Source organism: Homo sapiens, chromosome 19 (assembly GCF_000001405.40).
Source record: "Homo sapiens chromosome 19, GRCh38.p14 Primary Assembly".
NCBI lineage: Eukaryota > Metazoa > Chordata > Mammalia > Primates > Hominidae > Homo > Homo sapiens.
The window spans coordinates 2,810,265-2,837,406 of NC_000019.10; the positions used below are offsets into that span (position 1 = coordinate 2,810,265).

General features: G+C 53.5%; 2 protein-coding genes across 10 annotated transcripts in view, besides 5 other annotated features; both read left to right on the forward strand.

The window, feature by feature from the left end:
• The window catches only part of THOP1 (thimet oligopeptidase 1), a 30,305-nt gene extending 24,762 nt beyond the window's left edge, over positions 1-5,543 (forward strand). For 2 of the 3 annotated variants that reach the window (NM_003249.5, XM_011528228.3), the window contains 4 exons: positions 40-226; positions 376-504; positions 1,334-1,470; positions 2,851-5,543. In NM_003249.5, coding sequence (NP_003240.1) covers positions 40-226; positions 376-504; positions 1,334-1,470; positions 2,851-3,012 — 615 coding nt within the window. In that variant the 3' untranslated portion in view covers positions 3,013-5,543. Of the gene's footprint in view, positions 1-39; positions 227-375; positions 505-1,333; positions 1,471-2,850 lie in introns of those variants that run through there. The other variant, XM_047439299.1, reaches the window with a different exon arrangement.
• On the forward strand, positions 9,604-26,471 carry ZNF554 (zinc finger protein 554). Of its 7 annotated transcripts, XM_047438128.1 has the most exons (6): positions 9,604-9,860; positions 12,776-12,848; positions 13,247-13,338; positions 17,353-17,479; positions 22,039-22,230; positions 23,417-26,471. In XM_047438128.1, the coding sequence occupies exons 4-6, from the start codon at positions 17,380-17,382 to the stop codon at positions 24,586-24,588; spliced, it is 1,464 nt and encodes a 487-aa protein (XP_047294084.1). In that variant the 5' UTR covers positions 9,604-9,860; positions 12,776-12,848; positions 13,247-13,338; positions 17,353-17,379; the 3' UTR covers positions 24,589-26,471. The 7 variants fall into 7 exon arrangements, with proteins under 7 accessions (XP_047294084.1, XP_016881724.1, NP_001096121.1 ...); XM_017026235.2 differs by having other exon boundaries at positions 13,247-17,936; NM_001102651.2 differs by lacking the exon at positions 13,247-13,338.
• Positions 9,643-10,082: a silencer, noted in NCBI's record as "silent region_9811". NCBI's record gives its function as "represses an Ori minimal core promoter by ATAC-STARR-seq in GM12878 lymphoblastoid cells {active_cell/tissue: GM12878}" and the evidence as "EXISTENCE:reporter gene assay evidence [ECO:0000049][PMID:35858748]".
• Positions 9,643-10,708: a biological region, named in NCBI's record as "H3K27ac-H3K4me1 hESC enhancer GRCh37_chr19:2820277-2820970".
• Positions 10,015-10,708: an enhancer, noted in NCBI's record as "H3K27ac-H3K4me1 hESC enhancer chr19:2820277-2820970 (GRCh37/hg19 assembly coordinates)". NCBI's record gives its function as "activates a minimal SCP1, AML or CMV promoter by ChIP-STARR-seq in naive H9 embryonic stem cells {active_cell/tissue: H9 hESC(naive)}" and the evidence as "EXISTENCE:reporter gene assay evidence [ECO:0000049][PMID:30033119]".
• Positions 17,894-18,094: a silencer, noted in NCBI's record as "peak3238 fragment used in MPRA reporter construct". NCBI's record gives its function as "represses an SCP1 promoter by STARR-seq MPRAs in K562 erythroleukemia cells {active_cell/tissue: K562}" and the evidence as "EXISTENCE:reporter gene assay evidence [ECO:0000049][PMID:32103011]".
• Positions 24,034-24,234: a silencer, noted in NCBI's record as "peak3239 fragment used in MPRA reporter construct". NCBI's record gives its function as "represses an SCP1 promoter by STARR-seq MPRAs in K562 erythroleukemia cells {active_cell/tissue: K562}" and the evidence as "EXISTENCE:reporter gene assay evidence [ECO:0000049][PMID:32103011]".
• Positions 26,472-27,142: the final 671 nt, after the last annotated feature.

The window sequence follows — 27,142 nt, forward strand, 5'->3', positions numbered from 1 at the left end:
AGGACCTGGGCACTCTGAGGCTCTGCCCCATCCCTGCAGGCGGAGTTCGCCATGTTCAGCGGGACCCACGTGGAGCGGGACTTTGTGGAGGCGCCGTCGCAGATGCTGGAGAACTGGGTGTGGGAGCAGGAGCCGCTGCTGCGGATGTCGCGGCACTACCGCACAGGCAGCGCCGTGCCCCGGGAGCTCCTGGAGAAGCTCATTGAGTCCCGGCAGGCCAACACAGGTGCACCCGCCCCGTCCGGGGAAGGGTGCTAACCTCGGGGGGCGGCACACAGCTGGGGCCTGGCATGTGCCCCGGGTGGGGGTCGGAGCTCTGGGCAGAGTGGGCCGGGGCAGGTGCAGAGGCCAGCTCTCTCCTTCCCTCCCGCCCAGGCCTCTTCAACCTGCGCCAGATCGTCCTCGCCAAGGTGGACCAGGCCCTGCACACGCAGACGGACGCAGACCCCGCCGAGGAGTATGCGCGGCTCTGCCAGGAGATCCTCGGGGTCCCGGCCACGCCAGGTAGCCACCCTTGAGCCGGGCACACCCTGGAATTTGGAGCCTCAGCTGCTTCCCTGGGAAGGTGAAGGGAGTTGGTCCCCATGCTTCACTTAGCAAGTGCAGGAGTCCCTGCTGGGGAGCCACGGAGCGCGTCCCAGGCTCCTCGGGGGACAGCCCCAGCTGAGATGCAGCTGCAGGCCCAGGGTCGGGGACGGGTGTGCGGCCCCAGCCCCCAGGAGGAGTGTGTTCCCTGGAGCCTCTGCTTTGAATGAAGCTGGCGTTTTCCTGATTGAAATGTATGACACATGCTTTGTAAAAAGCCTGGAGAAGTACAGGAAGGCCTAGGAATTTCCGATCCTAATGATGAGAAGTGGGCCCTGTTTCCATGCTCACCTGTTGTCCTGTGTGCATGTGTGTTCACACACGCTTGCGAGGATCCAGAATTTGGAAATACAGCATGATTTTAACATGGGTGGTGTTTTGCTGGCTTAACACTCCATAGACTTCAAAAATCTTTCCAAAAGCGTTTTCAGCAGCGTGGCCTGTGATGTTGCGTGGGCGTGCCTTGCTTTATTGACGCAGTCTCAAAATGGGGACTTTGCTCTGTGGCAGCTGACAGCCCCGTTAAATGAGCTCCTGTCCTTCCAGGAGAGGGGGCGGAGACTTGTGGCCCTCGCTTTGTGGCTGACTCTGGTTCTAGAAGTATCCAGCTGGTCTCGGCCCTCACCGTGATCCTCCAGCTTCTCCCTGTTCCGGGCAGGGGTCTCAGGAGTCTGGCTGGTTGTCTTCTCCTGGAGGAGGAGCATGGGGTGGGGGCTACAGCGTGAACCCTGCCATGTGTCCGCCCCAGGAACCAACATGCCTGCAACCTTCGGCCATCTGGCAGGTGGCTACGACGCCCAGTACTACGGGTACCTGTGGAGCGAGGTGTATTCCATGGACATGTTCCACACGCGCTTCAAGCAGGAGGGTGTCCTGAACAGCAAGGTACGCGGGGACTGGGGACAGGGAGGGCGTCCTGAACGGCAAGGTACGCGGGGACTGGGGACAGGGAGGGCGTCCTGAATGGCAAGGTACGCGGGGACTGGGGACAGGGAGGGCGTCCTGAACGGCAAGGTACGCGGGGACTGGGGACAGGGAGGGCGTCCTCAACAGCAGGGTGGGGCCGAGAAAAGCACACCTTTGGCCTGGGCCTGGGTGTGCCGGGTGAGCCATCCCGGCCGAGGCACCTGCTGGTCTTGGTGCGGTGCTGCCCACAGCTCCTCCCTGGGCCCTGCAGGAAGCTCCACACTGGCCCCTCAGGCCTCGGGCTGTGAGTGCTGGGAGCTCCGTGTCTTCCCATACGAGTCCTTCCGGGATCTGCGTGATCGGCCTCAGAGCCATGGGCTGAGACAGACCCTTCTCTGGAGAAGGCTTGGCGTTTGCCATTCATTTGCTCCTCCAACCTCCAGTTTCCTCACTATGAAGTGCGGCCGTTACGCCATGTGAGCCTGTGCCTCCCGCTGACTTGGTGTGACCCAGGCTCGGGACAGCCGCCAGAGTCCCTCACAAGGAACAGGTGGCTACCAGCTTTGAGGGCCGGCCCTGCCCTGCCTGGGTGCAACATTGCACTGGGCAGCCTGCAGGTACCTCGGAGCCACCAAGCAGGCACTCAGCTGCTCCCTTTATAGAGGTGCAGAGGCCAGGACCTGGGGGAGCAATGGTCCGACAAGCCCCCTGTCTTCACAGCCCAGCAGGGACCTCCCCCCTCCTGAGGCAGCCTCCAGCAGCTCCCCCTGCTGCTGAGGTGAGGGGGTCCCACCTCTGAGGACCGGCCGGGGGCTGTAGAGGTGGAGTCCCCCGGGTGGGAGCTGGGACTGTGGCTCCCTGGCTCTGCAGCCTGCAGTCCGCGCAGGCTCCTGCGGGGCTCTGGGGCGTCGGGGTCTCCTTGGTGGCTGGCACCGGCGCCTCGCAGTCTCATCTGCCTCACCTGCCCGTAGTCCCGCAGTCACAGGGCTGGGCTCAAACCTGGGCCTTTAGGGCGGCCCAGAGCGCGAGCGGCTTCCACATTGTCCAGCCGGAGGCTCAGCCACTTCTGTTCATGGGCTCAGCCTGGGATTTCAGTGGGGGCTGATGGCGGGAGCCACCTCGGGAGTTTGGGGAGTTCGGGGCTCTGCTGGCCCCTCAGTGCACACCCCCGCTCTGAGATTCTGATGAAAGGCACCTGCGCTCTCCCACCTGTGCTGATGCAGGCGGCCCCCGGGCCTCCCTGGGAACCTGGAAGGGGTTGCTCCGAGGCCCCCCTGGGCGAGGGTGTGCAGACTCCTGGGGTCCTCTGCCTTCCTCCCTGGGTCCCCACCCGGCCACAGTGCCCTGTCTCCTCGGCAGGTTGGCATGGATTACAGAAGCTGCATCCTGAGACCCGGCGGTTCCGAGGATGCCAGCGCCATGCTGAGGCGCTTCCTGGGCCGTGACCCCAAGCAGGACGCCTTCCTCCTGAGCAAGGGGCTGCAGGTCGGGGGCTGCGAGCCCGAGCCGCAGGTCTGCTGAGGCCTGGCACTGCGACTGCCCAGTCTGGCCTGCGCTCCCGCCGCCCTGGTGCCTTAGCCCCCGGCACAGGATGGGGCAGGCTCTGGCACAGTGCCTGGGACTGGCAGGGTGGCTGAGCGGCTGTCTTGCCTCTTGTCATTGTCTGTCCCCACCCGGTCGTGGCCCACCCGGCTAGAGACGGCGTCCTCAAGGCATCTGGAGGGCTTTCGTGGCTGCCAGGGCCTGGTCTTTGTTGCACTAACACGTCTCCTCTCTGGGAAACGTCCCTTGTCAGGAGACGGCTCTTCTTTGAAATGAGGTCATTAAAAGGAAACAGAAAAAGAGAGAGGCTCCCTGGCCTGGTCACTGGCTCCTGCGCTTTTTTGGTCCGAGGACGGTGGGACGGCGGGTCAGGGTCCAGCCCTCGGGCTGTTGCCACACCAGGCCCTGGATTGGGGCTCAGGTCCTTGTGGGGGCGGGGGGTGGGGGAGTAAAGGGCTGGGAACCAGTTCTGCCAGCCAGGCCGGCCTGGGGGGTCTGAGAGACTTCGGCTTCCTGCATGCTTCTCACCTGTTGTCATTCTGGAACATTCCCCCCGCCCTGCTCAGCTCTGGCCATCAAGGACCAGGCTCCACTGGTCAGAGAGTCTGGAAAGTCAGGGCAGGCCCTGTGCGCACAGGCAGCCGGGGCGGGGCTGGGGGTCAGCAGCTGCCCACCCTCTCATCCACAGGGGAAGGCCGGGCTCACTCCAGCTTCCTAGGCAGAGTCTCTGGGGGTTCCTGTTGGACACAAGTGAACCAGGTGAACCAGGGCAGCTGCTGGAAGCTCGGCCATGGCCCTCATCCTCATGGCCTTGGGGACTGCCTGTGCCTGCCCTCCCTGGCGGCCCCACTCCCCTGGCTGTGGGCAACATGGCAAAGTCTTGATCGGGGGTGCAGGGTCGGGGGGGCGCTTCCTGGACCCTCCAACAGTGCTCAGAGATGCCTCAGGGATAGCTGTCGGCTGTGTCCCCACCTCCCGAGCAAGACAAGTGGATGCTCCCCGTCTCTTCAGTCCCAGTGCTCTGATGTTTTCTCCCGCGACTGTGAGTTTCTCAGGAGCCCCCCTCGTGCCCTGGGAGCGTCCCTCCCCAGTCTTAGTCCTCCACGAAGGACGCTGGTCAGCAGAACCTGTGACCCTGCTTCCCGAGGCCTATGGGTGGCCAGACATCCGCCTCGTCCTCACCTCCATTTGGACAGGACTCCGAGGGCTGTGCCATCTGCTTCAGCCCCTCCTGTCCCATTCCCACCCAGCCCAGGTCAGTGTGGCTGTGGCCACTGCCATGGGGCCTGCTTTGCACCTTACGCACGCCTGGCTCTGCTCCATGCACCTGCTTCTGTGTCTTTCCAACTCTGGGGGCTAAGGGGTGAGTCTTGTCTTTGCAGAGCTGGACGGCACAGCCTGTGGCCAGGAGGGTTATGCCAGCGAGGCGGGAATCCATAAGTGGGAACACCACAGTGGTCACGTTTCAGATACTCACAGCTCAGAGCGGGTCCCATAGCTTGCACCTGAAGCCCCAACTACTCAGGAGGCTGAGGCGGAAGGATTGCTTGAGCCCAGGAGGGCAAGGCCAGCCTGGGCAACGTGGCAAGACCCCATCTCTAAAAAAAATAAGTTCGGTGGGTGTGGGGCCAGTGCCTGTGGTCTGTTTTTTGGGAGGCTGAGGCAGGAGGATCGCTTGAGCCTAGGAGGTCAAGGCTGCAGTAAGCCGTGATCCCACCACTGCACTGCAGCCTGGGCAACAGAGCAAGACTGTCTCTAAAATAACAATAATAATAAAATACCTGGGGTTCAGAAAAGAAAAGCTGGAAGGCAAAGCCGACCGCACTGGGCAGAGGTGGAGATGGCAAGTCTGGGGGCTCCCTCATCTTCCCCTGCCCCGAGCCCTCAGGTGGCCTCCACCTGGTCCCCAGCGAAGTCCCAGTTGTGCAAGAGCACCCCAGCTGGGCCCTGGGCCATCACAGCCTTGTCACACACACAGCCTGGCCCATCACAGCAGAGCTGGGGTCACAGCCTTGGGCTGCTGGGCCGTGGGCGGATGGCCTGGACCATCCACACCCCACTCCCCTGGAAGTCACCAACTGGGCTTAGTTGCCGGATACCCCAGGCAGCCCCCCGCGGTGCTTCGCAAGTTGGGCCGCCTCCCCCAGCATGTCCCCTGCTCTGTGGACACCCAGGGATGTGGAGGTAGTAGCACAGAGTCTCGGTCCAGGGCCCTGTTCCCCAGGGAGCTGGGCGTCCTCAGAGCCTTCCCAAATGCCCACACCGGGGGCACCCGGGTTTCCCCAAACACTCCAGGACAGAGCGGGGGCTTTGATCACAGGGAGGGGGCTGCAGAGCTGCTGTGTCTCCTGGCTCCTCTGCCCCATGCTCCCCACTCAGGGCTCCAGCAGTGGGCTCAGAGGACAGTGTGGCATTAGCATCCCCTGCCCGTCCAGGTTGTCACTCTCCTTGGCCCCTTGCTGCTCCCCAGTGGAAAAAAAAGGGGGAAATAAAGAATCGTAAAAAATACATATATTGGAACCTGTATGTTTTGTGATCTTCGCAACATTTCTCTGTAAACTCTCCTTCTTTAGGTTTTTGACAAAACCTGAATGCAGAAGTGGTCTCCTCCCCAGTCACCCGTCCAGCCCCCGTGGGCTGTCCCCAGGTGTCCCTGGCTCTTCATCCCCACAATCCTGTCCCTGCCTGTGCTGCCTCCAACACACGCGCCCCAGGCTTTGTGCCTGTGGTTCCATTTTGGTCCTTCACGAAGTATTTCTCCAACCGAGAAGCTGCTGGGATCTCTGTGGTTGGTGGCCCCGAGCGGCCCCACTCCTCTCAAGGATGATACCAGTGGGGCCGTTGTAGGCAGGCTCCATGCTGCGGGCTGGGCAGGCGCGGTCGTCCCCATCCTCCCCATGGGACTTGTGTTACTGTCCCCGTGTCCCAGATGGGGCATCTCAGGAGCAGAGCCAGCGTCCCCCCTCCTCTCCCCAATGAGCAACACCGGCTGAAGGCCACAGCCTTGAAAGGGACAGGGGCCTCACTCTCCAGGGCTGTCCCTACTTCAAGGGACAAAATGTTTTGTGAAACTCAGTTCGATTCTGAGATTAATGGCCAGCTTGCGGGTGGTTTGAGCCCTGGGCTGGAAGGCAGGAGGTCTGGGTTCAAGTCTCCAGGTAGACAGGGCCCAGGGATGAGTTCCAGCATGGGCTAGGGGCCAGGGTGCTGCCCACGTGGCTCCCTGGGGAACTGGGCTCCCTGTGGCCATGCAGAGAGCTTTCTGGCTTTTCCAGGCTGCACCAGACCGGTGTGATGCTCTCCTCTTCAGACCCCAGACTGCCCTTGTGTGTTCCCTCTTGCCCCATCCTCAGCTCAGGAGGTCAGGGAGACGGAGCTCTGTCCCAAAGGCCATCCTGTGCCCCCGGCCACCTCTCATCGTTGGTTTGCGGATGGGCTGGTGACCTATTTTGGAGCACCTACATCAGTGCCGTCCTCCAGTCTGACTCGGTTTGAACGATTAGAGAATTTTATTTTTCCCTGAACTTGAAATTGGGAGGAGGGAATGCTGTCGGCACGTGGAGGTGCTTGGAGTGGGGCCTGCCAACCCGGAGGACGCTACGGCTGTGATGAAGGCTACCCCACTACATCGTCCAAGCACCTCCAACCCAGTTTACGGTGGGGTCCGGACCTGCCCCTGAACTTGGCGGTTATGTGAGCCTATAAATTCCCAGTTATTATTTATGTTTTTATTGGCTGGGCACAGTGGCTCACACCTGTAATTCCAGCACTTTGGGAGGCTGAGGCAGGCAGATCACTTGAGGCCAGAAGTTCAAGACCAGCCTGGCCAATATGAGGAAACCCCGTCTCTACTAAAAAATACAAACATTTAGTCAGACGTGGTGGCCCTTGCCTTAGTCGGTGTGAGAACTGACTAATGCAATTAGTGAGACTATATTATGAACCTTTATAGTGTTAGAAATAAATTTTCGGTGCCACAAAAGAAACAGCACTCGAACATTAATTTTCTCAGCACGGCAATTTTACTTCTATAGAAGGGTGCGTCTGGCAGGTGGAGCCCAGCGCCGCGCTGCGGGGCCTGCTGGGACTTGTAGTTCACAGGCTCAGGGTGCGCAGGCGCAATGCCGAGTTTGCCTCTGCGCGAGTCGGGGTTGGCGGCGCCTGAACGAGCACACCTGAACGAGGGAGGAGAAGGGGTTCTTACCCCTGACGCAGGTACCCCTACTGCTGTGTTGTTCCCCTATTGGCTAGGGTTGGCCCGCACAGTCTAAGCTGATTCTGATTGGCTGTTTTAAAGAGCAGGGGTATGAGCCAGAGTGGCGGGGTGAGTAGTTTGGCAGGAAGGACGGCTACAGAAAAGGTGACTCAGAATGACTAAGAACAGAGCAGGTGACCAAGGATAACTAAGGTCAGAGCAGGTGACAAGGGTGACTAAGAACAGAGCAGGTGACCAAGGATAACTAAGGTCAGAGCAGGTGACAAGGGTGACTAAGAACAGAGCAGGTGACCAAGGATAACTAAGGTCAGAGCAGGTGACCAAGGATAACTAAGGTCAGAGCAGGTGACCAAGGATGACTAAGGTCAGAGCAGGTGACAAGGGTGACTAAGAACAGAGCAGGTGACCAAGGATAACTAAGGTCAGAGCAGGTGACCAAGGATAACTAAGGTCAGAGCAGGTGACCAAGGATGACTAAGGTCAGAGCAGGTGACAAGGGTGACTAAGGTCAGAGCAGGTGACCAAGGATGACTAAGGTCAGAGCAGGTGACAAGGGTGACTAAGAACAGAGCAGGTGACCAAGGATAACTAAGGTCAGAGCAGGTGACAAGGGTGACTAAGGTCAGAGCAGGTGACCAAGGATAACTAAGGTCAGAGCAGGTGACCAAGGATGACTAAGGTCAGAGCAGGTGACAAGGGTGACTAAGAACAGAGCAGGTGACCAAGGATAACTAAGGTCAGAGCAGGTGACAAGGGTGACTAAGAACAGAGCAGGTGACCAAGGATGACTAAGGTCAGAGCAGGTGACCAAGGATAACTAAGGTCAGAGCAGGTGACAAGGGTGACTAAGAACAGAGCAGGTGACCAAGGATAACTAAGGTCAGAGCAGGTGACAAGGGTGACTAAGAACAGAGCAGGTGACCAAGGATAACTAAGGTCAGAGCAGGTGACAAGGATGACTAAGGTCAGAGCAGGTGACCAAGGATGACTAAGGTCAGAGCAGGTGACCAAGGATGACTAAGGTCAGAGCAGGTGACAAGGATGACTAAGGTCAGAGCAGGTGACCAAGGATGACTAAGGTCAGAGCAGGTGACCAAGGGTGACTAAGGTCAGAGCAGGTGATAGGGGCTAGGAGGGGTTGTTTACTGAAACTAGGGGCAAGGAAACGAAAAGAACGAGGAAGTTAAAGTTTAAAATGAAGAACAAAGAATAGGTGGCCGGGCGCGGTGGCTCACGCCTGTAATCCCAGCACTTTGGGAGGCTGAGGCAGGCGGATCACGAGGTCAGGAGATCGAGACCATCCTGGCTAACACGGTGAAACTCCGTCTCTACTAAAAATACAAAAAAATTAGCCGGGCGTGGTGGCGGGCGCCTGTGGTCCCAGCTGCTTGGGAGGCTGAGGCAGGAGAATGGCGTGAACCTGGGAGGCGGAGCTTGCAGTGAGCCGAGATCGCGCCGCTGCACTCCAGCCTGGGCGACAGAGCGAGACTCCATCTCAAAAAAAAAAAAAAAAAGAACAGGGGAGCTGAATATACGGAAACATTGGTTCTTTGGAGAGGAGCTCATAACTGATTGTACTTAACAATTTACAGGCTAAAACCTTTGAAGAGGAATTTGTTGTATCCTACAACAGTATATTAATTATAGTAGTTTTACTATTTTAATTTCTCATAAATAACAATCAGTAGAATATTAAATAAATATTTAAACAATAATTTAATTTGGCTGGGCGTGGTGGCTCACGCCTGTAATCCCAGCACTTTGGGAGGCCAAGGCGGGCAGATCACTGGAAGTCAGGAGTTCGAGACCAGCCTGGCCAACATGGTGAAACCGCGTCGCTACCAAAAATATAAAAAATTAGCCGAGTGTGGTTGTGCACGCCCGTAATCCCAGCTACTTGGGAGACTGAGGCAGGATAATCGCTTGAACCCGAGGGGGCGGAGGTTTCAGTGACCTGAGATCATGCCATTGCACTCCAGCCTGGGCGACAAGAGCGAAACTCAGTCTCAAAAACAAACAACAATTACTTAAGCAATCATTTTAATAAGTATGTAATACATTATACGTTTATATAACTTGCTTAATAAATAATAGTAGTTATTAATATCCAATGGCAAGCCGCCGGGAAACGACGGAGCTGGGATTTGAGGATTGGCTCCGCGAACCCCACAACACCCGGGGACTCCAGCGAACCACACGGGGTGGATCCAACAGCCGCAGGGGCATCGTGGTCCTGCGGAGACGCCGCCCGCCCGGAGGCGGCGCTGTGACCCAGGTTGGAGAGTCAGGAGCCCAGCGCCGCGCTGCGGGGCCTGCTGGGACTTGTAGTTCGCAGGTTCGGGGTGCGCAGGCGCAGTGCCGAGTTTACCTCTGCGCGCGTCGGGGTTGGTGGCGGCGGCTGCGGCGAGTTCCTGAGGGGCGCCTGCGGGGGGCGTCCGCTCCGAGCGCCGAGGAGCCGAGCGGAGGAGGCGTCCCAGGGACACGCAGGGGAGGCCGGCCGGCCTGCACGGGGCGCTCCCGCCTCGGGGGCCCTGTCTGGCGCCTCAGCGCGCGCCCCGATGGTCACCTGCGCCCACCTGGGCCGGCGCGCGCGGCTCCCGGCAGCTCAGCCGTAAGTGCCGCCGCCTCCCGCGCCGCGACCTCCGTGCCGGGCCTGCCGGGGCTCTGGTGGGGCTGGGTCTGGCGGGGCCGGGTGGCCGGGGCATGACCCTGTCGCGATAGGGTCCCCACGGGAGGGTCGGGAGCCGGCAGCTCGCCCAGGGCCCCAACGCCCAGGATGGCACGGTCTGCCCTTGCCCTGTGAAAACGCCCCTGGGTGAGAGACGCATAAGCTTTCCGAGGCCCAGCCTGCAAGGAGAGGGAGAAGACGCATTGACTCTACCCTAAAGGCAGAGAGGGGCTGCCACGCTCGCACTGCAGTGAGGCCACATCAGAGGGTCTGAGCGAGGGGCGGTCCTGCCCTCCAGGGGACACCGGGCGATGTCTGGGGACGTCTGTGGTTGTCATAACTGGGGGCAGTTCCTGGCATGGAGTAGGTGGAGGCCAGGGATGCAACTCAGCACCCTGCCCAGCCCAGAGAATGACCCAGGCTCCAGTGTCCACAGCGCCCTGAGGGAGAGACCTCACTTATACGTTAGCACCGCTGTCCTGGTGATAAGACAGCAAGGGTCCTTTTTTTTTTTTTTTTGAGACGGAGTCTGGAGTGCAATGGCATGATCTCGGCTCACTGCAACCTCCGCCTCCCGGGTTCAAGCCATTGTCCTGCCTCAGCCTCCCAAGTAGCTGGGATTACAGGCGTATGCCACCACGCCCGGCTAATTTTTGCATTTTTAGTAGAGACGGGGTTTCACCATGTTGGCCAGGCTGGTCTCGAACTCCCACCTCAGGTGATCCACCCGCCTCAGCCTCCCAAAGTGCTGGGATTACAGGCGTGAGCCACCGCGCAGCTGCAAGGGTCTATTCTGTTTATACCCACCACCCATGTTGAGGAATGAGGGAGGCAGCTGACCTTTCTGCTGCTCTAGCAACCCCAACCTCCCTGAACTCTCCCCTACCCAAACAGGTTGGTTTCTTTTTCTTCTTCTTTTTTTTTTCTTGAGACAGTCTCGCCCTATTGCCCAGGCTGGAGTGCAGTTGCACGATCTCGGCTCACTGCATCCACCTCGTGGGTTCAAGTGATTCTCCTGCCTCAGCCTCCCAAGTAGCTGGGATTACAGGTGCACGCCACCCCGCCTGGCTAATTTTTATATTTTTAGTAGATACAGAGTTTCTCCATGTTGGCCAGCCAGGCTGGTATCGAACTCCTGACCTCAGGTGATCCACCTACCTCGGCCTCCCAAAGTGACCACTGCGCCCGGCGCCTTTGGTTCTTACATGAGCCTCCTGGAGCTGCTGTGACAATGCACCACAAACCAGGGGGCAGGGGGAGGCTTGAAATTTATTCTCTCACAAGTCTGGAGGCCAGAAGCCCAACATGAAGATGTGGTGGGGCCGTGGTGCTTCTGAAGGCTCTGGCGGGAGGATCTTCTCTGTCTCTTCCAGCTTCTGGGGGTGGCCTGCCATAGTTGGTGTCCCTTGGCTTGGGGCCACATCACTCCAAGCTCTGCCTGCATCATCATGTGGCCTTCTTCCCTGTGTCTCTTTCTCCTTTTTTGTTTTTATTTTTATTTTTTGAGATGGGGTCTCGGTCTGTCACCTGGCTGGAGTGCAGTGGCACGATCTCGGCTCACTGCAATCTCTACCCCACAGGATCAAGCAATTCTGCCTCAGCCTCTCGAGTAGCTGGGATTACAGGTGCACGCCACCACACCCAGCTAATTTTTGTATTTTTAGTAGAGACGGGGGTTTTGCCATGTTGGCCAGGCTGGTCTCGAACTCCTGACCTCGTGGTCTGCCCGCCTTGGCCTTTCAAAATGCTGGGATTACAGACGTGAGTCACCTAGTCCAGCTGTCTCTTTCTCTTATAAGGACAATACTCATGACCCCAGTAGCTGGAAGAGGCGGAAGGATTTTTCCTGAGAGCTTTTGTTTCTTCTTTTCCTTATCTTTTCTTTTTGAGATAGAGTCTTGCTCCATTGCCCAGGCTGGAGTGCAGTGGCACAGTCTTGGCTCACTGTAACCCCTGTCTCCCAGGTTCAAATAATTATCGTGCCTCAGCCTCCTGAGTAGCTGGGTTTACAGGGATGTGCCACCACACCTGGCTATTTTTTTTGTATTTTTAGTAGACGAGGTTTCACCATGTTGGCCAGGCTGGTCTTGAACCCCTGGGCTCAAGTGATCCTCGCGCCTCAGCCTCCCAAAGTGCTGGGATTACAAGTATGAGCCACCATACCCGAGCTTTTCCCTAGAGCCTTCAGAGGGAGTACAGCCCTGCCCACACCTTGATCTCAGACTTCCAGAACTGGGAAAGGATATATTCCTGTTATTTTAAGCCCCCGGGTTACTGGCACCTTGTGAAAACAGCCTCAGGAAATGCATGGAGCGCTTCACTTCCTAATGGAGCCTGGGTGTTTTGTAAACTTGTTTGCTTCCAAGGGCCTCAGGACCTTCATCCATAAAATGGGGCCTTTAAGACCCCTGGCCATGGATGTGTGTGGCGTCTCACACCTTTAATCCCAGAATTTAGGGAGGCTGAGGAAGGTGGATCCCTTGAGCCCAGGAGCTATAGACCTGGGACAACATAGCAAGGCCCCGTCTCTACAGAAAATACAAAAAATTAGCCGGACATGGTGGTGCCTGTAGTTCCAGCCACAGGCTGAGGTAGGAGGATAGCTTGAGCCCAGGAGGTTGAAGCTGCCATGAGATGAGCTATGATTGCACCACTGCACTGCAGCCTGGGCAACGGAGGGAGACCCTATCTCTTAAAAAACACAAACCCTGGCTTCAGTCCTGGGTTCTGGCTTCAGTTTACCTCCCTCTGTGTATGGGGGGCCCCTTCAAGCAAATGGAGGTTCTCCAGGCCAAGGGCTCTGGGATCTGGGGACTGGCCTGGATCTGGTATTCGCAGCGCCTTTTTCCTCCCCACAGCTCTGCCTGCCCAGGAACCTGCTTTTCCCAAGAGGAGAGAATGGCTGCTGGGTACCTGCCCCGCTGGTCCCAGGTGAGATGTCCTCATTCTCCCAAAGGGCACCCAGTATATCCAGAGGGAACAATCCCACCAGAAACTCAGTCCTCGATAGAGGAGACCCCTTGCTATGTGAAAGTTCAGGAGAATTCCCCAGGAGTGGTGTGTGGGATGAGGTACTCCTGCTGCTCCCAGGTGTAAAGAGTGACCCTCAGTATTGGGACTGAGCACAGCCTCTCCCTAGGAGACAGTATTACGGGATCCCTGGGGTGTCAGTTTTTCTGGCTGGAAACCTCTGTGGCTGTGGTACCTTTGCCCAAGTTCTTGTCCTGCATCCAAGAAGAATGAGGTATACAGACAAGTGAAGGGTGAAGAAGAGTTGTATTTACTGTTAGAGCAGCTCAGAGGATTGAGCAGCTCCTCCCTGTTGGCAGGTTGTCTGGTCGAGTGTTCAGCTCTCAGCAGAGAGGAGGCCTAGGAGAGGGTGGCTCCTCTCCACAGGCAAGTCATTCGGACGTCTCTGCAGGTCTCTGAAGCTCTCAGCAGGGACGGTAGCTCCTCTCTGAAGCTCTCAGCAGGGATGGTAGCTCTTCTCTGCCGGCAGATCATCTCTGCAGCCTTCAGTGGAGAGGGTACTCCTCTCTGCAGCTGGTCGTCCGGTCCCATCCTGTCATCTGTCTGCCTTCTTTGTCCTCTGGCCGTCCTCTGCCCTGCTAAGCCTGAGCCCAGGGCTTTTACGGACCTCAGAGGGGAGGAAGTGTGTGCCGACTGGTTCATGGGCGGCCATGGGAGGGTCGAAAGAGGCACCATGAGTCCCCACTCTGGTCTGTAGGACTGGCAGCCTGGCCCCCAGTCTTCAGGCCCTCCCTGGCCTGAAGGTGGGGCCTTACTGGGGACCCACCCCCTTCTGCCCAGGAATTAATCTGCCTCCTGCTGCCATTCACGGCCCTAGGACTTGGCCCAAACCCCACTCTGAGAGAGGCCAGGCAGTGGGAGCAGACACCCCTGAACCTGCAGGGACTAGGGAGTCCTTCCTGAGACTCCTGAGGGTGCAGGTTGCAGAGATGCCTGGGTCCTGCGCCTGGGAGGACAGCCACGGCTGCACCCAGGAGCTCCTGCCTCGCCCACTTGGAGGAGGCAGGGCTCTCACTTGTCTCCAGCTCCTGCCTGCTTCCTGGAGTGCGAGGCCCAGGTCTGCAGCTGCGGGTCTGGCAGCTTCAGCTGCACCCAGGAGGGCAGATCCTGCCTCTTCTCAGTTCCCCCAAGAGCACAGGGAGGCTCGAATCCACAGCTACAGGAGGACGGGGCTCCCACTAGCTCCATGGAGTGTGCAGCCCCGGTGGCACCTCCCTGCTGCTGCTGACATGATGGCATCAGCCACTGCCATCAACAGGTGGGATCCAGCACCTTCCCCTGGAGAGCAGGCAGTGCTGCCCAGGAAGGCATCCTCCTCTTTACCTGAAAGAATATTTCTGTAACTGTGATAAAACACACATGAAATACATATGAACTTTACCATCTTAGCCGTTGATAAAACACACATGAAATACATATGAACTTTACCGTCTTAGCTGTTGATAAAACACACATGAAATACATATGAACTTTACCATCTTAGCCGTTGATGAAACACATGAAATACATATGAACTTTACCGTCTTAGCCGTTTTCAAGTGCACAGCTCAATGGCATTAAGTTGGACAACCATCACCACCCTCCTCTCTAGAACTTCCTCCTCTTCCCAAACTGAAGCTCTGTCCCCATGAGACACTCATTCCCTGTCCCCCTCCCCAGCCCCTGGTACCCCCCATCCTACTTTCTGTCTCTCTGAATCTGACAACTCTAGGGACCTCCTAGGAGTGGAACCACACAGGCTTTGTCCTTCTGTGTCTGGCTTCTCTCACTGAGCATAACGTGATTGCAGTTGTTTTTTTTTTTTTTTTTTTTTTTTTTTGAGACAAGGTCTTGCTCTGTTGCACAGGTTGGAGTGCAGTGGCGCGATCTTGGCTCACTGCAACCTCTGCCGCCCAAGCTCAAGCTATTCTTGTGTCTCAGCCTCCCAAGTAGTTGGGATTATGGGCATGTGCCACCATACCCAGCCAATTTTTGTATTATTAGTAGAGACGGGGTTTCACCATGTTGGCCCAGGCTGGCTGTGAACTCCTGGGTTCAGGTGATCCACCCACCTTGGCCTCCCAAAGTGCTGGGATTACAGGTGTGAGCCACCACGTCCGCCCTCTGCAGTTTTATTTAAGACAGAGTTTCGCTCTGTTGCCCAAGCTGAAGTGCAGTGGCACAATCTCAGCTCACGCTGAGATCCCACCTCCCGGGTTCAAGCGATTCTCCTGCCTCAGCCTCCCAAGTAGCTGAGATTACGGCACTCGCCACCATGCCTGGCTAATTTTTGTATTTTTAGTAGAGACAGGGTTTCACCATGTTGGCCAGGCTGGACTTGAACTCCTGGCCTCAAAGGCCAAAGTGCTGGGATTATAGGCACATCCTGGAGTGGGATTTTTAAAATATTTTAAAAATTTTTTGTAGAAACTGGGTGTCACTGTGTTGCTCAGTCTGGTCTTGAACTCCTGGGCTCAAACAGAGTCTTCCCAGCTTGGCTTCCCAAAGGGCTGGGATTACCAGTGTGAGCAAAGTCGGAAGAGTTTGTTTTTTTTTTCCAGGATGCAACTGAAGAGGGAGAGGTGAAGGCATAAGACAGGGGTGGACTGAAGCGAGTCCATACAGGGCCCTTAAGGCTGGGATTGAAAGCTCAGGGTGCCTCCTGTATGCCTATGGTTCAGGTGCTAGAAGTGGTTCTACATCTTTTCTTTCTTTCTTTCTTTTTTTGAGATGGAGTTTCACTCTTGTTGCCCAGGCTGGAGTGCAGTGGCGTGATCTTGGTTCACTGCAACCTCTGCCTCCCAGGTTCAAGCAATGCTCCTGCCTCAGCCTCCCGAGTAGCTGCAATTACAGGCACCCGTCACCACGCTTGACTAATTTTGTATTTTTGGTAGAGACGGGGTTTCTCCATATTGGTCAGGCTGGTCTCGAACTCCCAACCTCAGGTGATCCGCCTGCCTCGGCCTCCCAAAGTGCTGGGATTACAGGTGTGAGCCACCGTGCCCAGCCAGTAACTTTTTTTTTTTTTTTTTGAAATGGAGTCTTGCTTTGTCACCCAGGCTGGATTGCCGTGGCACAATCTCCGCTCACTGCAACCTCTGCCTCCCGGTTCAAGCGATTCTCCTGCCTCAGCCTCCTGAGTAGCTGGGACTACAGGTACGTGCCACCACGATTGGCTGATTTTTGTATTTGTAGTAGAGATGGGGTTTCACTATGTTGGCCAGGCTGGTCTTGAACTCCTGACCTTGTGATTCACCTGCCTCAGCCTCCCAAAGTGCTAGGATTACAGGCATGCGTCACAGTGCCCAGCCAACTTTTACATCTTACAGCAGATACCAGCTTACGTGCTGTTTTATACCATGGATTACCTGGATAGCCATTCAGGCCCTAAACACTCATCAGCCCCTTCATATGTTGAAACAACAAAGCTTTTGCCATATTTCAGTGGGTCAAGGTTGTTGTAGCAGATTCCTCTTTTTTTTTTTTTTTGAGATGGAGTCTCGCTCTGTCGCCCAGGCTGGAGTGCAGTGGCGTGATCTCGGCTCACTGCAAACTCCACCTCCTGGGTTCATGCCATTCTCATGCCTCAGCCTCCCGAGTAGCTAGGACTACAGGCGCCCGCCATCATGCCCGGCTAATTTTTTTGTATTTTTAGTAGAGACGGGGTTTCACTGCGTTCGCCAGGATGGTCTCGATCTCCTGACGTCGTGATCCACCCGCCTCGGCCTCTCAAAGTGCTGGGATTACAGGTGTGAGCCACTGCGACTGGCTGCAGATTCCTCTTCTTACATTGTCCATGCCTTGTAATGTGTAACTCTGAGTCATGGAAGCAAAGAGAACTAATCTCTAATAACTGTGAGTTTTGAGGAAGGTCCTGTTCCATCCTGCTTTTTGTTGGGTATTGCTTCTCAGTCTTCTGACTATGGCAATAGCAAATGCTGTGACTGATATTAACTAGTTAGTCCTCACGACAACACACTTTGGATAAAATTCTTCTTTCCATTGAACAGATGAGGAGGCTGTGTCCTGGATAGGTCAGCAATATACCTGCAGTCCCATAACTTGCAAGTGGCATATCCATGACATCCATTCATTTTCAGAATCAGCAGGGGGAGATTCTCACATGGGAATGTCAGGCTCAGAGATCCAGAGGTTAGAATCACCAGTTCAATAAGAAATGGGCAAAATGTTTCATCCAGACCTGTGTGCTGGTCGTCCTTGTTGTGTTGATGGTGGGCCTAGGGTCTGTATGTCCCTCTGATTTTAAGCCAAGGACAAGCACCCACAAGGCAGCTAGTAGAAACTGACTTATGGACTTTGCACCTTGACCTTTCTCAACTTCCCTGGTGCCACCAACCTCACCCCTCCTCCCATGAACGTGGGTGGCGATGGACCCATCTTGAGCAGAACTGCTGTGATATTCTAGGAATTAGTAACCTTTGAGGACGTGTCCATGGACTTCTCCCAGGAGGAGTGGGAGTTGCTGGAGCCTGCTCAGAAGAACCTGTACAGAGAGGTGATGCTGGAGAACTACAGGAACGTGGTCTCCCTGGGTAAGGCAAGCATCACTAATTCCTGTGTTCATTGATTCACATTTATCTGGTGTATTAGTCTGTTCTCACACTGCTAATAAAGAAATACCCAAGACTGGGTAATTTGTAAAGGAAAGGGGGTTTAATGGACTCAGTTCCACATGGCCGGGGAGGGCTCACAATCATGGTGGAAGGCGAATGAGGAACAAAGTCACATCTTACGTGGCGGTAGGCAAGAGAGCTTGTGCAGGGGAACTCCCATTTGTAAAACCGTCAGATCTCGTGAGACTTATTCATTACCACGAGAACAGTATGGGGAAAACCACCTCCGCCATGATTCAGTTATCTCCCCCTGGCTCCACCCTTGACGTCGGGATTATTACAATTCAAGGTGAGATTTGGATGGCAACACAGCCAAACCATGTCATCTAGCATCTACTATGTGTCTGGCACCATGCTGGGAATGGGGGATTCATTGGTAAGTAAGACAGACATGGGTCCTGGTTTTGTGGCTTTCGTGGTCTGGTTTCTCTGAGAACAGATGACCTTACTTGTTCAGTACGTGATAGCTGGAGCTGCAGTGCAATTGCATGTCTCAGCTCAGGCATAGATAACTTCTCTGATTCCCCTTGGGAACAAAGTCAGAGTGTCTTAGTCCGTTTCACACTGCTATAAAGAGTACCACCTAGGCTGGGTGTGGTGGCTCATGCCTGTTATCCAAGCACTTAGGGATCACAAGGGTGATCACCTGAGGTCAGGAGTTCAAGACCAGCCTGGCCACTGTGGTGAAACCCTGTCTCTACTAAAAATGGCGGGCACCTGTAATCCCAGCTACTCAGGAGGCTGAGGCAGGAGACTTGCTTGAACACGGGAGGCAGAGGTTGCAGGGTTGCAGTGAGCCAAGATTGCACCACTGCACTCCAGCCTGGGTGACAGAGCAAGACTCCGTCTCAAGAAAAAAAAAAAAAAAGCAAGAAAAGAGGTTTAATGGAGTCACAGTTCCACATGGCTCGGGAGGCCTCAGGACACTTACAATCACGGCAGAAGGGGAAGCAGGCACCTTCTTCAAAAGGCAGCAAGAGAGGGAAGAGAGCAGGGGAAACCTTATAAAACCATCAGATCTCATGAGAACTCACTATCACGAGAACAGCATGGGGGAACTGCCCCCATGATCTCATCACCTCCCATCAGGTACCTCCCTTGACACGTGGGGATTACGATTGGAGATTACAATTCGAGGTGAGATTTGGGTCGGGAGACAGCTCAACCATATCACAGAGCATTTGTACTCTTTCTGCCAAGGTAAAGAGCCATCATTAAAAAAAAAAATGTTTTTACTGTGATAAAAAATGTAGGCTGGGCGTGGTGGTTCATGTCTGTAATCCCAGCACTTCAGGAGGCCAAGGTGGGTGGATCACTTGAGGCCAGGAGTTTGAGACCAGCCTGACCAATGTGGCAAAACCCCATCTCTACTAAAAATACAAAAATTAGCTGGGCATGGTGATAGACGTCTGTAATCCCAGCTACTTGGGAGGTCGAGGCATGAGAATCGCTTGAACCTGAGAGGCAGAGGTTGCAGTGAGCCAAGATCGTACCACTGGACTCCAGCCTGGGCGACAGAGCGAGACTCTGTCTCAAAAAATATATATACAGCAGTGGCTCACGCCTGTAATCCCAGCACTCTGGGAGGCCAAGGCGGGGTAGATCACCTGAGAGACCAGCTTGACCAACATGGAGAAACCTTGTCTCTACTAAAAATACAAAATTAGCCAGGCGTGGTGGCGCATGCCTGTAATCCCAGCTACTCAGGAGGCTGAGGCAGGAGAATCGCTTGAACCCAGGAGGTGGAGGTTGCGGTAAGCTGAGATCGTGCCACTGGACTCCAGCCTGGGCAACAAGAGCAAAACTCCCTGTCAAAAAAATAAAAAAAGTATATATACATATATATATGCACACACGTATCTATCTATATATCTCTATATAAACATAAAATGTGCCTTTTTCACCCCTTTTAAGTGTGCAGTTCAGTGGCACTAAATGCATTCAGCATGTACTACAGCCACCACAACTGTCCATTTCCAGAACTTTTATCCTCAACCAAAACTCTGTACCCGTTAAATTCTCCCTCCCCAGCCCCTCCTTCAGCCCCTTGTAACCATGAGTCACTCTCCATCTCTATGGATTTGCCTACCCTGGACATTTCTTTTCTTTTCTTTTTTTGAGACGGAGTCTCGCTCTGTCGCCCAGGCTGGAGTGCAGTGGCGTGATCTTGGCTCACTGCAAGCTCCGCCTCCTGGGTTCACGCCATTCTCCTGCCTCAGCCTCCGGAGTAGCTGGGACTACAGGCGCCCGCCACCATGCCCGGCTAATTTTTTAATAATTTTTTGTATTTTTAGTAGAGATGGGATTTCACTGTGTTAGCCAGGATGGTCTCAATCTCCTGACCTTGTGATCTGCCCACCTCGGCCTCCCAGAGTGCTGGGATTACAGGCAGGAGTCACCGTGCCCGGCAGACATTTCATATAAATGGAATCATATAATATGTGGCCTTTTGTGTCTGGCTGATTTCACTGGGTGTGATGTTTTCAGTGTTCATTTACATTGTAGCCTGTGTCAGTGCTTTGTTCATAGATGAAGAAGATTCCATCGTGTGTATACAACACGCTGTGTCCATCCATTCACCAGTTGATGGACGCCTGGGTTTCCACCTTTCCGCTGTTGTGAATCCTGTTGCTGTCAGCATTGGCAAACAAGTATCTGTTTCAGTCACTGTTTTCAGTGCTTTGGGTCAATACTAGGAGTAGAATTGCTGGATCATGCGGTAATTCTATGTTTAGAATTTAGCTTTTTCAGGAACTGCCATACTGGCTTTTCTTTTGTTTTTTTGTTTTGAGACAGAGTCTCACTTTGTTGCCCAGGCTGGAGTGCAGTGGCACTCTCTCAGGTCACTGCAACCTCTGCCTCCGCAGTTCAAGTGATTCTCATGCCTCAGCCTCCCAAGTAGCTGGAATTACAAGTGTGCACCACCACACCTGTTTTTGTATTTTTTTTTTTTTATGAGACGGAGTTTCGCTCTCGTTGCCCAGGCTGAAGTGCAGTGGTACAATCTAGGCTCACCACAACCTCCACCTCCCAGGTTCAAGCGATTCTCCTGCCTCAGCCTCCCCAGTAGCTGGGATTACAGGCATGCGCCACCACACCCGGCTACTGTTTTTGTATTTTTAATAGAGATGGATTTTTGCCATGTTGGCCAGGGTGGTGTTGAACTCATGACCTCTAGTGATCCACCTACTTCCGCTTCCCAAAGTGCTGGGATTACAGACGTGAGCCACTGTGCCCAGCCCCATACTGGGTTTTGTATCAGCATGTATATTTTCCATTCCCACCAGCAGTGCAGACTGTTGCAATTTCTCCACATCCTTGGCAACACTTACTATTTTTTATTATGGCCTTTCTAATATGTGTGAAGTGGTATCTCATTGCGGTTTTGATATGCATTCCCCTAATGACCAATGACATCGAGCATCCATTCCTGTGTTTATTGACCATTTGTGTATCGATTTTTGGGGGAAATGTAAGATCTGTAATTTTTTTTTTTTTTTTACTCTGTCGCCCATGCTGGAATGCAGTGCTGCAATCTCGGCTCACTGCAAGCCCTGCCTCCCGAGTTCATGTCATTCTCCCGCCTCAGCCTCCCAAGTAGCTGGGACTACAGGCGCCTGCCACCACACCCGGCTAATTTTTTGTATTTTTAGTAGAGACGGGGTTTCACCGTGTTAGCCAGGATGGTCTTGATCTCCTGACCTCATGATCCACCCGCCCTGCCCTCCCAAAGTGATGGGATTACAGGTGTGAGCCACTGCACCCGCCCTTTTTTTTTTTTTTTTTTTTTGAGACAGAGTCTCACTCTCATTGCCCAGCCTGGGGTGCAGTGGTGTGATCACAGCTCACTGCAGCCTTGACCTCCCCAGGGCTCAAGTGATCTTCCCACCTCAATCTCCCAGGTAGCTGGGACTATAGGCTTAGACCACCACACCTGGCTAGTTTTTTTGTTTGTTTGTTTTTGGTTTTTTTTTGGTAGGTCCGGGGTCTTGTCATGTTGCTCAGGCTGGTCTCAAACTCCTGTGTTCCAGTGATCACCTGCCTCTGGGCCTCCCAAAGTGTTGGGATTACAGGTGTGAGCCACCACGCCCAACCAGATCTGTAATTTTTTTTTTCTTTGAGACTGAGTCTTGCTCTGTTGCCCAGGCTGGAGTGCAATGCCACGACCTCGGCTCACTGCAACCTCTGCCTCCTGGGTTCAAGTGATTCTCCCACCTCAGCCTCCTGAGTAACTGGGGTTACAGGCATGCACCACCACGCCCAGCTAATTTTTGTATTTTTAGTAGAGATGGGGTTTTACCATGTTGGCCAGGCTGGTCTCAAACTCCTGACCTCAGGTGATCCGCCTGCCTCGGCCTCCCAAATTGCTGGGATTACAGGAGTGAGCCACCATGCCTGGCACAGATCTGTAATTTTTTAACTAGAAAATAAAATCATTATCTTGTGCTACCTCTCAAGTATACTCTTGTCTTTTTCAGAAGCCTTGAAGAACCAATGTACTGATGTGGGGATTAAAGAGGGTCCACTTTCCCCAGCACAAACCTCACAAGTCACTAGTCTTTCCTCATGGACGGGGTATTTACTTTTTCAACCAGTGGCTTCTTCCCACTTGGAGCAAAGAGAAGCCCTGTGGATAGAGGAAAAAGGAACTCCTCAAGCCTCCTGTTCAGGTGAGAATCAGGCAGATAGAAACCATTGGGATGGCAGTGGCATCGTGGGAAACATTGGTCAGAGAGCTCTTCACAAGGCCCTGATTCTGTAAGGAGAATGCCAAGATCCCTTTCTCGGACACCTTCAGTTCATTTTCTGGCAGCTTTCTCCTTCTCTTTACTACCTTACATGACCTCTCTCTGGATACAGAGAAAAGAGTATCTCATTTTCTTGTTTTATTTATTTATCTTAAGACAGGGTCTCACTCTGTGGCCCAGGCTGGAGTGCAGTGGCATGGTCATATCTCACTGCATCCTCACCTTCCTGGGCTCAAGTGATCCTCCTGCCTCAGTCTCCTGAGCAGCTGGGACTATAGGCACATGCCATCACTCCCACCTATTTTGTTTTTCTCAGAGATGGAGTCTCACTGTGTTTCCCAAGCTGGTCTTGAATTCTTGGACTCAAGTGATCCTCCTTTCTCAGCCTCCCAAAGTGTTGGGAGTACAGGCATCAGCCATGACTCCTGGCCCCATTTTCTTCTATTTTTTCCCCCCATTTTCTTCTTGAAGCCATTTTGCCTATGTTTCTAGTTGTCTCTTCCCTCTTTGCTTTCTTGATAATTCTTTCTCTCTGCCAGACATATTCTCCCAGCTTAACAGGGTAATTTCTTTCTTTTTTTTTGAAACAGTCTCGCTCTTGTTGCCCAGGCTACAGTGCAGTGGTGTGATCTCGGCTCACTGCAACCTCCACCTCCCAGGTTCAAGCGATTCTTCTGCCTCAGCCTCTTGAGTACAGGTGTGTGTGCCACCACGCCTAGCTAATTTTTGTATTTTTAATAGAGACAGGGTTTCACCATGTTGATCAGGCTCAAACTCCTGACCTCAGGTGATCCACCTGCCTCGGCCTCCCAAGGTGCTGGGATTACAGGCGTGAGCCACTGCACCTGGCCTACAGAGTAATTTCTTTCTGCATTGATATTTCCCTGCCTTTTCCCATCACTGTCAATCTTCCACTGCTGCATCTCATCCTCAGTGGCCTTCCTTGCCACCCATCTCTCTTTTTCCCATCCTTCCCGCATGTTCAGAGTTGATATTTGAACATCAGTCCGCACAGGCCTTGTAGATGTCAGAAGGACTTCTGTCCCGCTGGTTTTCAAGTAGCTGTTTCTTCTTCTAAAAAAATGGTTTCCGCCTCAATTTATTTCAGATTGGATGACTGTACTAAGAAACCAAGACTCAACTTACAAGAAGGTGGCTTTGCAGGAGGAACCAGCCAGTGGTATAAATATGATAAAGCTTATCAGAGAAGATGGGGGATGGAAGCAGTTAGAGGACAGCCATGAAGACCCCCAGGGGCTTTTGAGCCAAAAGGCATCCCTTCACGTAGTGGCCGTTCCTCAGGAGAAGGCTACTGCATGGCATGGATTTGGGGAAAATGGTAATCTGAGCCCAGCCCTTGTTTTATCACAGGGAAGCTCTAAAGGGAACCACTTGTGTGGCAGCGAGTTAGATATTACAAGCTTGGCATCCGATTCAGTCTTAAACCACCATCAGCTGGGATATGCAGATCGGAGACCTTGTGAAAGTAATGAATGTGGAAATGCCATCCGCCAGAACAGTCACTTTATTCAACACGGGGGGAAGATGTTTGTGTATTTGGAAAATGGGCAGTCATTGAACCACGGTATGGCCCTGACTATCCACAACAAAATCAACACGGCAGAGAAACCCTTTGAGTGCCACCAGTGTGGGAAGGTGTTCAACCGGAGGCATTCTTTGAGCGAACATCAAAGAATTCACACGGGGGAGAAACCCTACGAGTGTCAGGAGTGTGGGCGAGCCTTTACGCACAGCTCCACCCTCACGCGCCATCTGAGAACTCATACTGGAGAGAAGCCCTACGGGTGCGGTGAGTGCGGGAAAGCCTTCAACAGGATCTCATCGCTGACTCAGCATCAGAGGATTCACACCGGGGAAAAGCCCTATAAATGTGAAGACTGTGGGAAATCCTTCTGCCAGAGCTCTTACCTGATCTTGCACAAGAGGACACACACCGGAGAGAAGCCCTACGAATGCAGTGAATGTGGAAAGGCCTTCAGTGACCGTTCCTCTCTCAACCAGCACGAGCGAACTCACACGGGCGAGAACCCCTATGAATGTAAGCAGTGTGGGAGAGCCTTCAGCCAGAGGTCTTCCCTTGTGAGGCACGAGAGAACTCACACTGGAGAGAAACCCTACAGGTGTCAGGAATGTGGGAAAGCCTTCAGCCAGAGCTCATCCCTTGTCACACATCAGAAAACTCACAGCAGCCAGAAAACCTATAAAATCATTGACTGTGGGAAAGCGTTCTACCAGAACAGACATCTTATTGGATATTAGCAATTGCACGCTGCTTTGTAAGCCACTTTTTAGTACTCTGACACATACATGTGGTTATCTTTTGCCCTGTTGTGATGGATAATTTGAAAAGAAGTGGGTTTATGTCACCTTCTCACCTTCTTATAAGAAAGCTCTGAGAATGGGCATTTTTGTATTTTGTTGTTGTTGTTGAGATGGAGTCTGCCACCCAGGCTGGAGTCCAGTGGCGTGATCATACCTCACTGCAGCTTCAACTTCCTGGGCTCAAGTAATCCTCCCACCCCAGCCTCCCAGGTAGCTAGTACTATAGGTGTGCACCACCACGCCCAGCAAATTTTTAAATTTATTATAGAGTGGGAGGCAGGGTGCGGTGGCTCATGCCTATAATCCTAACACTTTAGGAGGCCGAGGCGGGTGGATCATGAGGTCAGGAGATCGAGACCATCCTGGCTAACACAGTGAAACCCTGTCTCTACTAAAAATACAAAAAAGTAGCCGGGCGTGGTGGTGGGCGCCTGTAGTCCCAACTACTCAGGAGGCTGAGGCAGGAGAATGGTGTGAACCCGGGAGGTGGAGCTTGCAGTGAGCCGAGATCGCACCACTGCACTCCAGCCTGGGAGACAGAGCGAGACTCCGTCTCAAAAAAAAAAAAAAAATTATAGAGTTGGGGTCTTGCTACATTGCCAAGACTGGTCTTGAACTCCTGGGGTCAAGCATCCTCCTGTCTTGGCCTCCCAAAGTGTTGGGATTAGAAGCATGAGCCGCTGTGCCCAGCCTGACGGGGCCTTTTAGTGGGAGGAGTTGCCATTACACTACGTCCAGTAAGCTCCAGACTTTCGGAAAAGATTGGTGGACGGGAATGCTGTCATGGATGGGATCTTGCCAAGAACCATCACGTGTTAATTTAGTTGCTTAAACAAAAGGTGTTCTGTTTCTTAACTACTTCTGTGTCTTTACTTTTTATTTCATTGTTCATTGTTTTTATTTTAATATTCTTTTCTGGGTTTATATGAGACGAGTTTTCACTCTGTTGCTGAGGCTGAAGTGCAGTGGCGTGATCATAGCTCCCTGTAGTCAGCCTTCATCTCCTGGACTCAAGCAATCCTCCCACCTCAGCCTCTCCGGTAGCTGGGACTACACATGTGCACCGCTACCACACCCAGCTAAATTTTTTTTTTGTATTTTTGTAGTGATGGGCTTTCACCAGGTTGCCCAGGCTGGTCTCAAACTCCTGAGCTCAAGCAATCCACCCACCTTGGCCTCCCAAAGTGCTGGTATTACAGGTGTGAGCCACCGTGCTGGTATTACGGGTGTGAGCCACTGTGCTGGGATTACGGGCGTGAGCTGCCCATGCTGGGATTACGGGTGTGAGCCACCGTGCTGGTATTACGGGTGTGAGCCACCGTGCTGGGATTACGGGCGTGAGCCACTGTGCTGGGATTACGGGCGCGAGCCACTGTGCTGGGATTACAGGTGTGAGCCACCCTGCTGGGATTATGGGTGCGAGCCGCCGTGCTGGGATTACAGGTGTGAACCACTGCTCCTGGCCTTTATTTCAGCATTCTGTTTCAGTGTTTCACATTGGCCACTTAGCTAGATCCGTTTGTCTTCTGCAGTACTGTGCTGATCCAGAGTATATGCTAAGACGGAAAGCGCTTTGGAGGTAAAGTTTAAAAAATACAAGGGCTTCAAAATAGTACTAGTAATTTGATCCATTCACAAAAGGACAAAGGCTGGACAGAGACGTGAAGAAATGAATCATTTACGCAATGATTGGGGTGTTCCAATTATGTGTGATTTTGTGTTTTCTGCCGTTTCATTTTGTATTGCCATAATCATTTTGACAATGAATACAAATCAAATAGCACCCAAAATTGTGAAGGATACGGAACCTCATTGATGAGTCAGGATAGACTGTGGGTACCTAGATGGTAGAGACATAGTATAGTAGACTTTGGGACATAGAGGGTGGAATGACCTTTGGTGGCCTGGGAAAAGTCCCGCCTGTGAGATGTCCCTAGCAAAATCAAGACCAGGAGTGCTGATGTGCATTATCGTCATGAACATGTATTGGATGCTTACTGTATACCAAGCACCAGCCAAGTACTTCCATGTGGTTCTTCATTTAGCCCTCACGACCCCATGAGATAATCACTATTCACATTCCATTTTACAGAAGACAAAACGGAAATAATTTGCTCAAGGTCACACAATTAGAAAGGAGTAGAATCTGGGCTGGGCACAGTGGCTCACACCTGTGATCCCAGCACTTTGAGAGGCTGAGGTGGGTGGATCACTTGAGGTCAGGAGTTCGAGACCAGCCTGGCCAACATGGTGAAGCCCCATGTCTACCAAAAAATACAAAAATTAGGGAGGCCGAGATGGGCGGATCACCTGAGGTCAGGAGTTCGAGACCAGCCTGACCAACATGGAGAAACCGCATCTCTACTAAACATACAAAATTAGCCGGCATGGTGGTGCATGCCCGTAATCCCAGCTACTCGGAGGCTGAGGCAGGAGAATCGCTTGAACCCGGGAGGTGGAGGTTGCTGTGAGCTGGGACAGTACCATTACA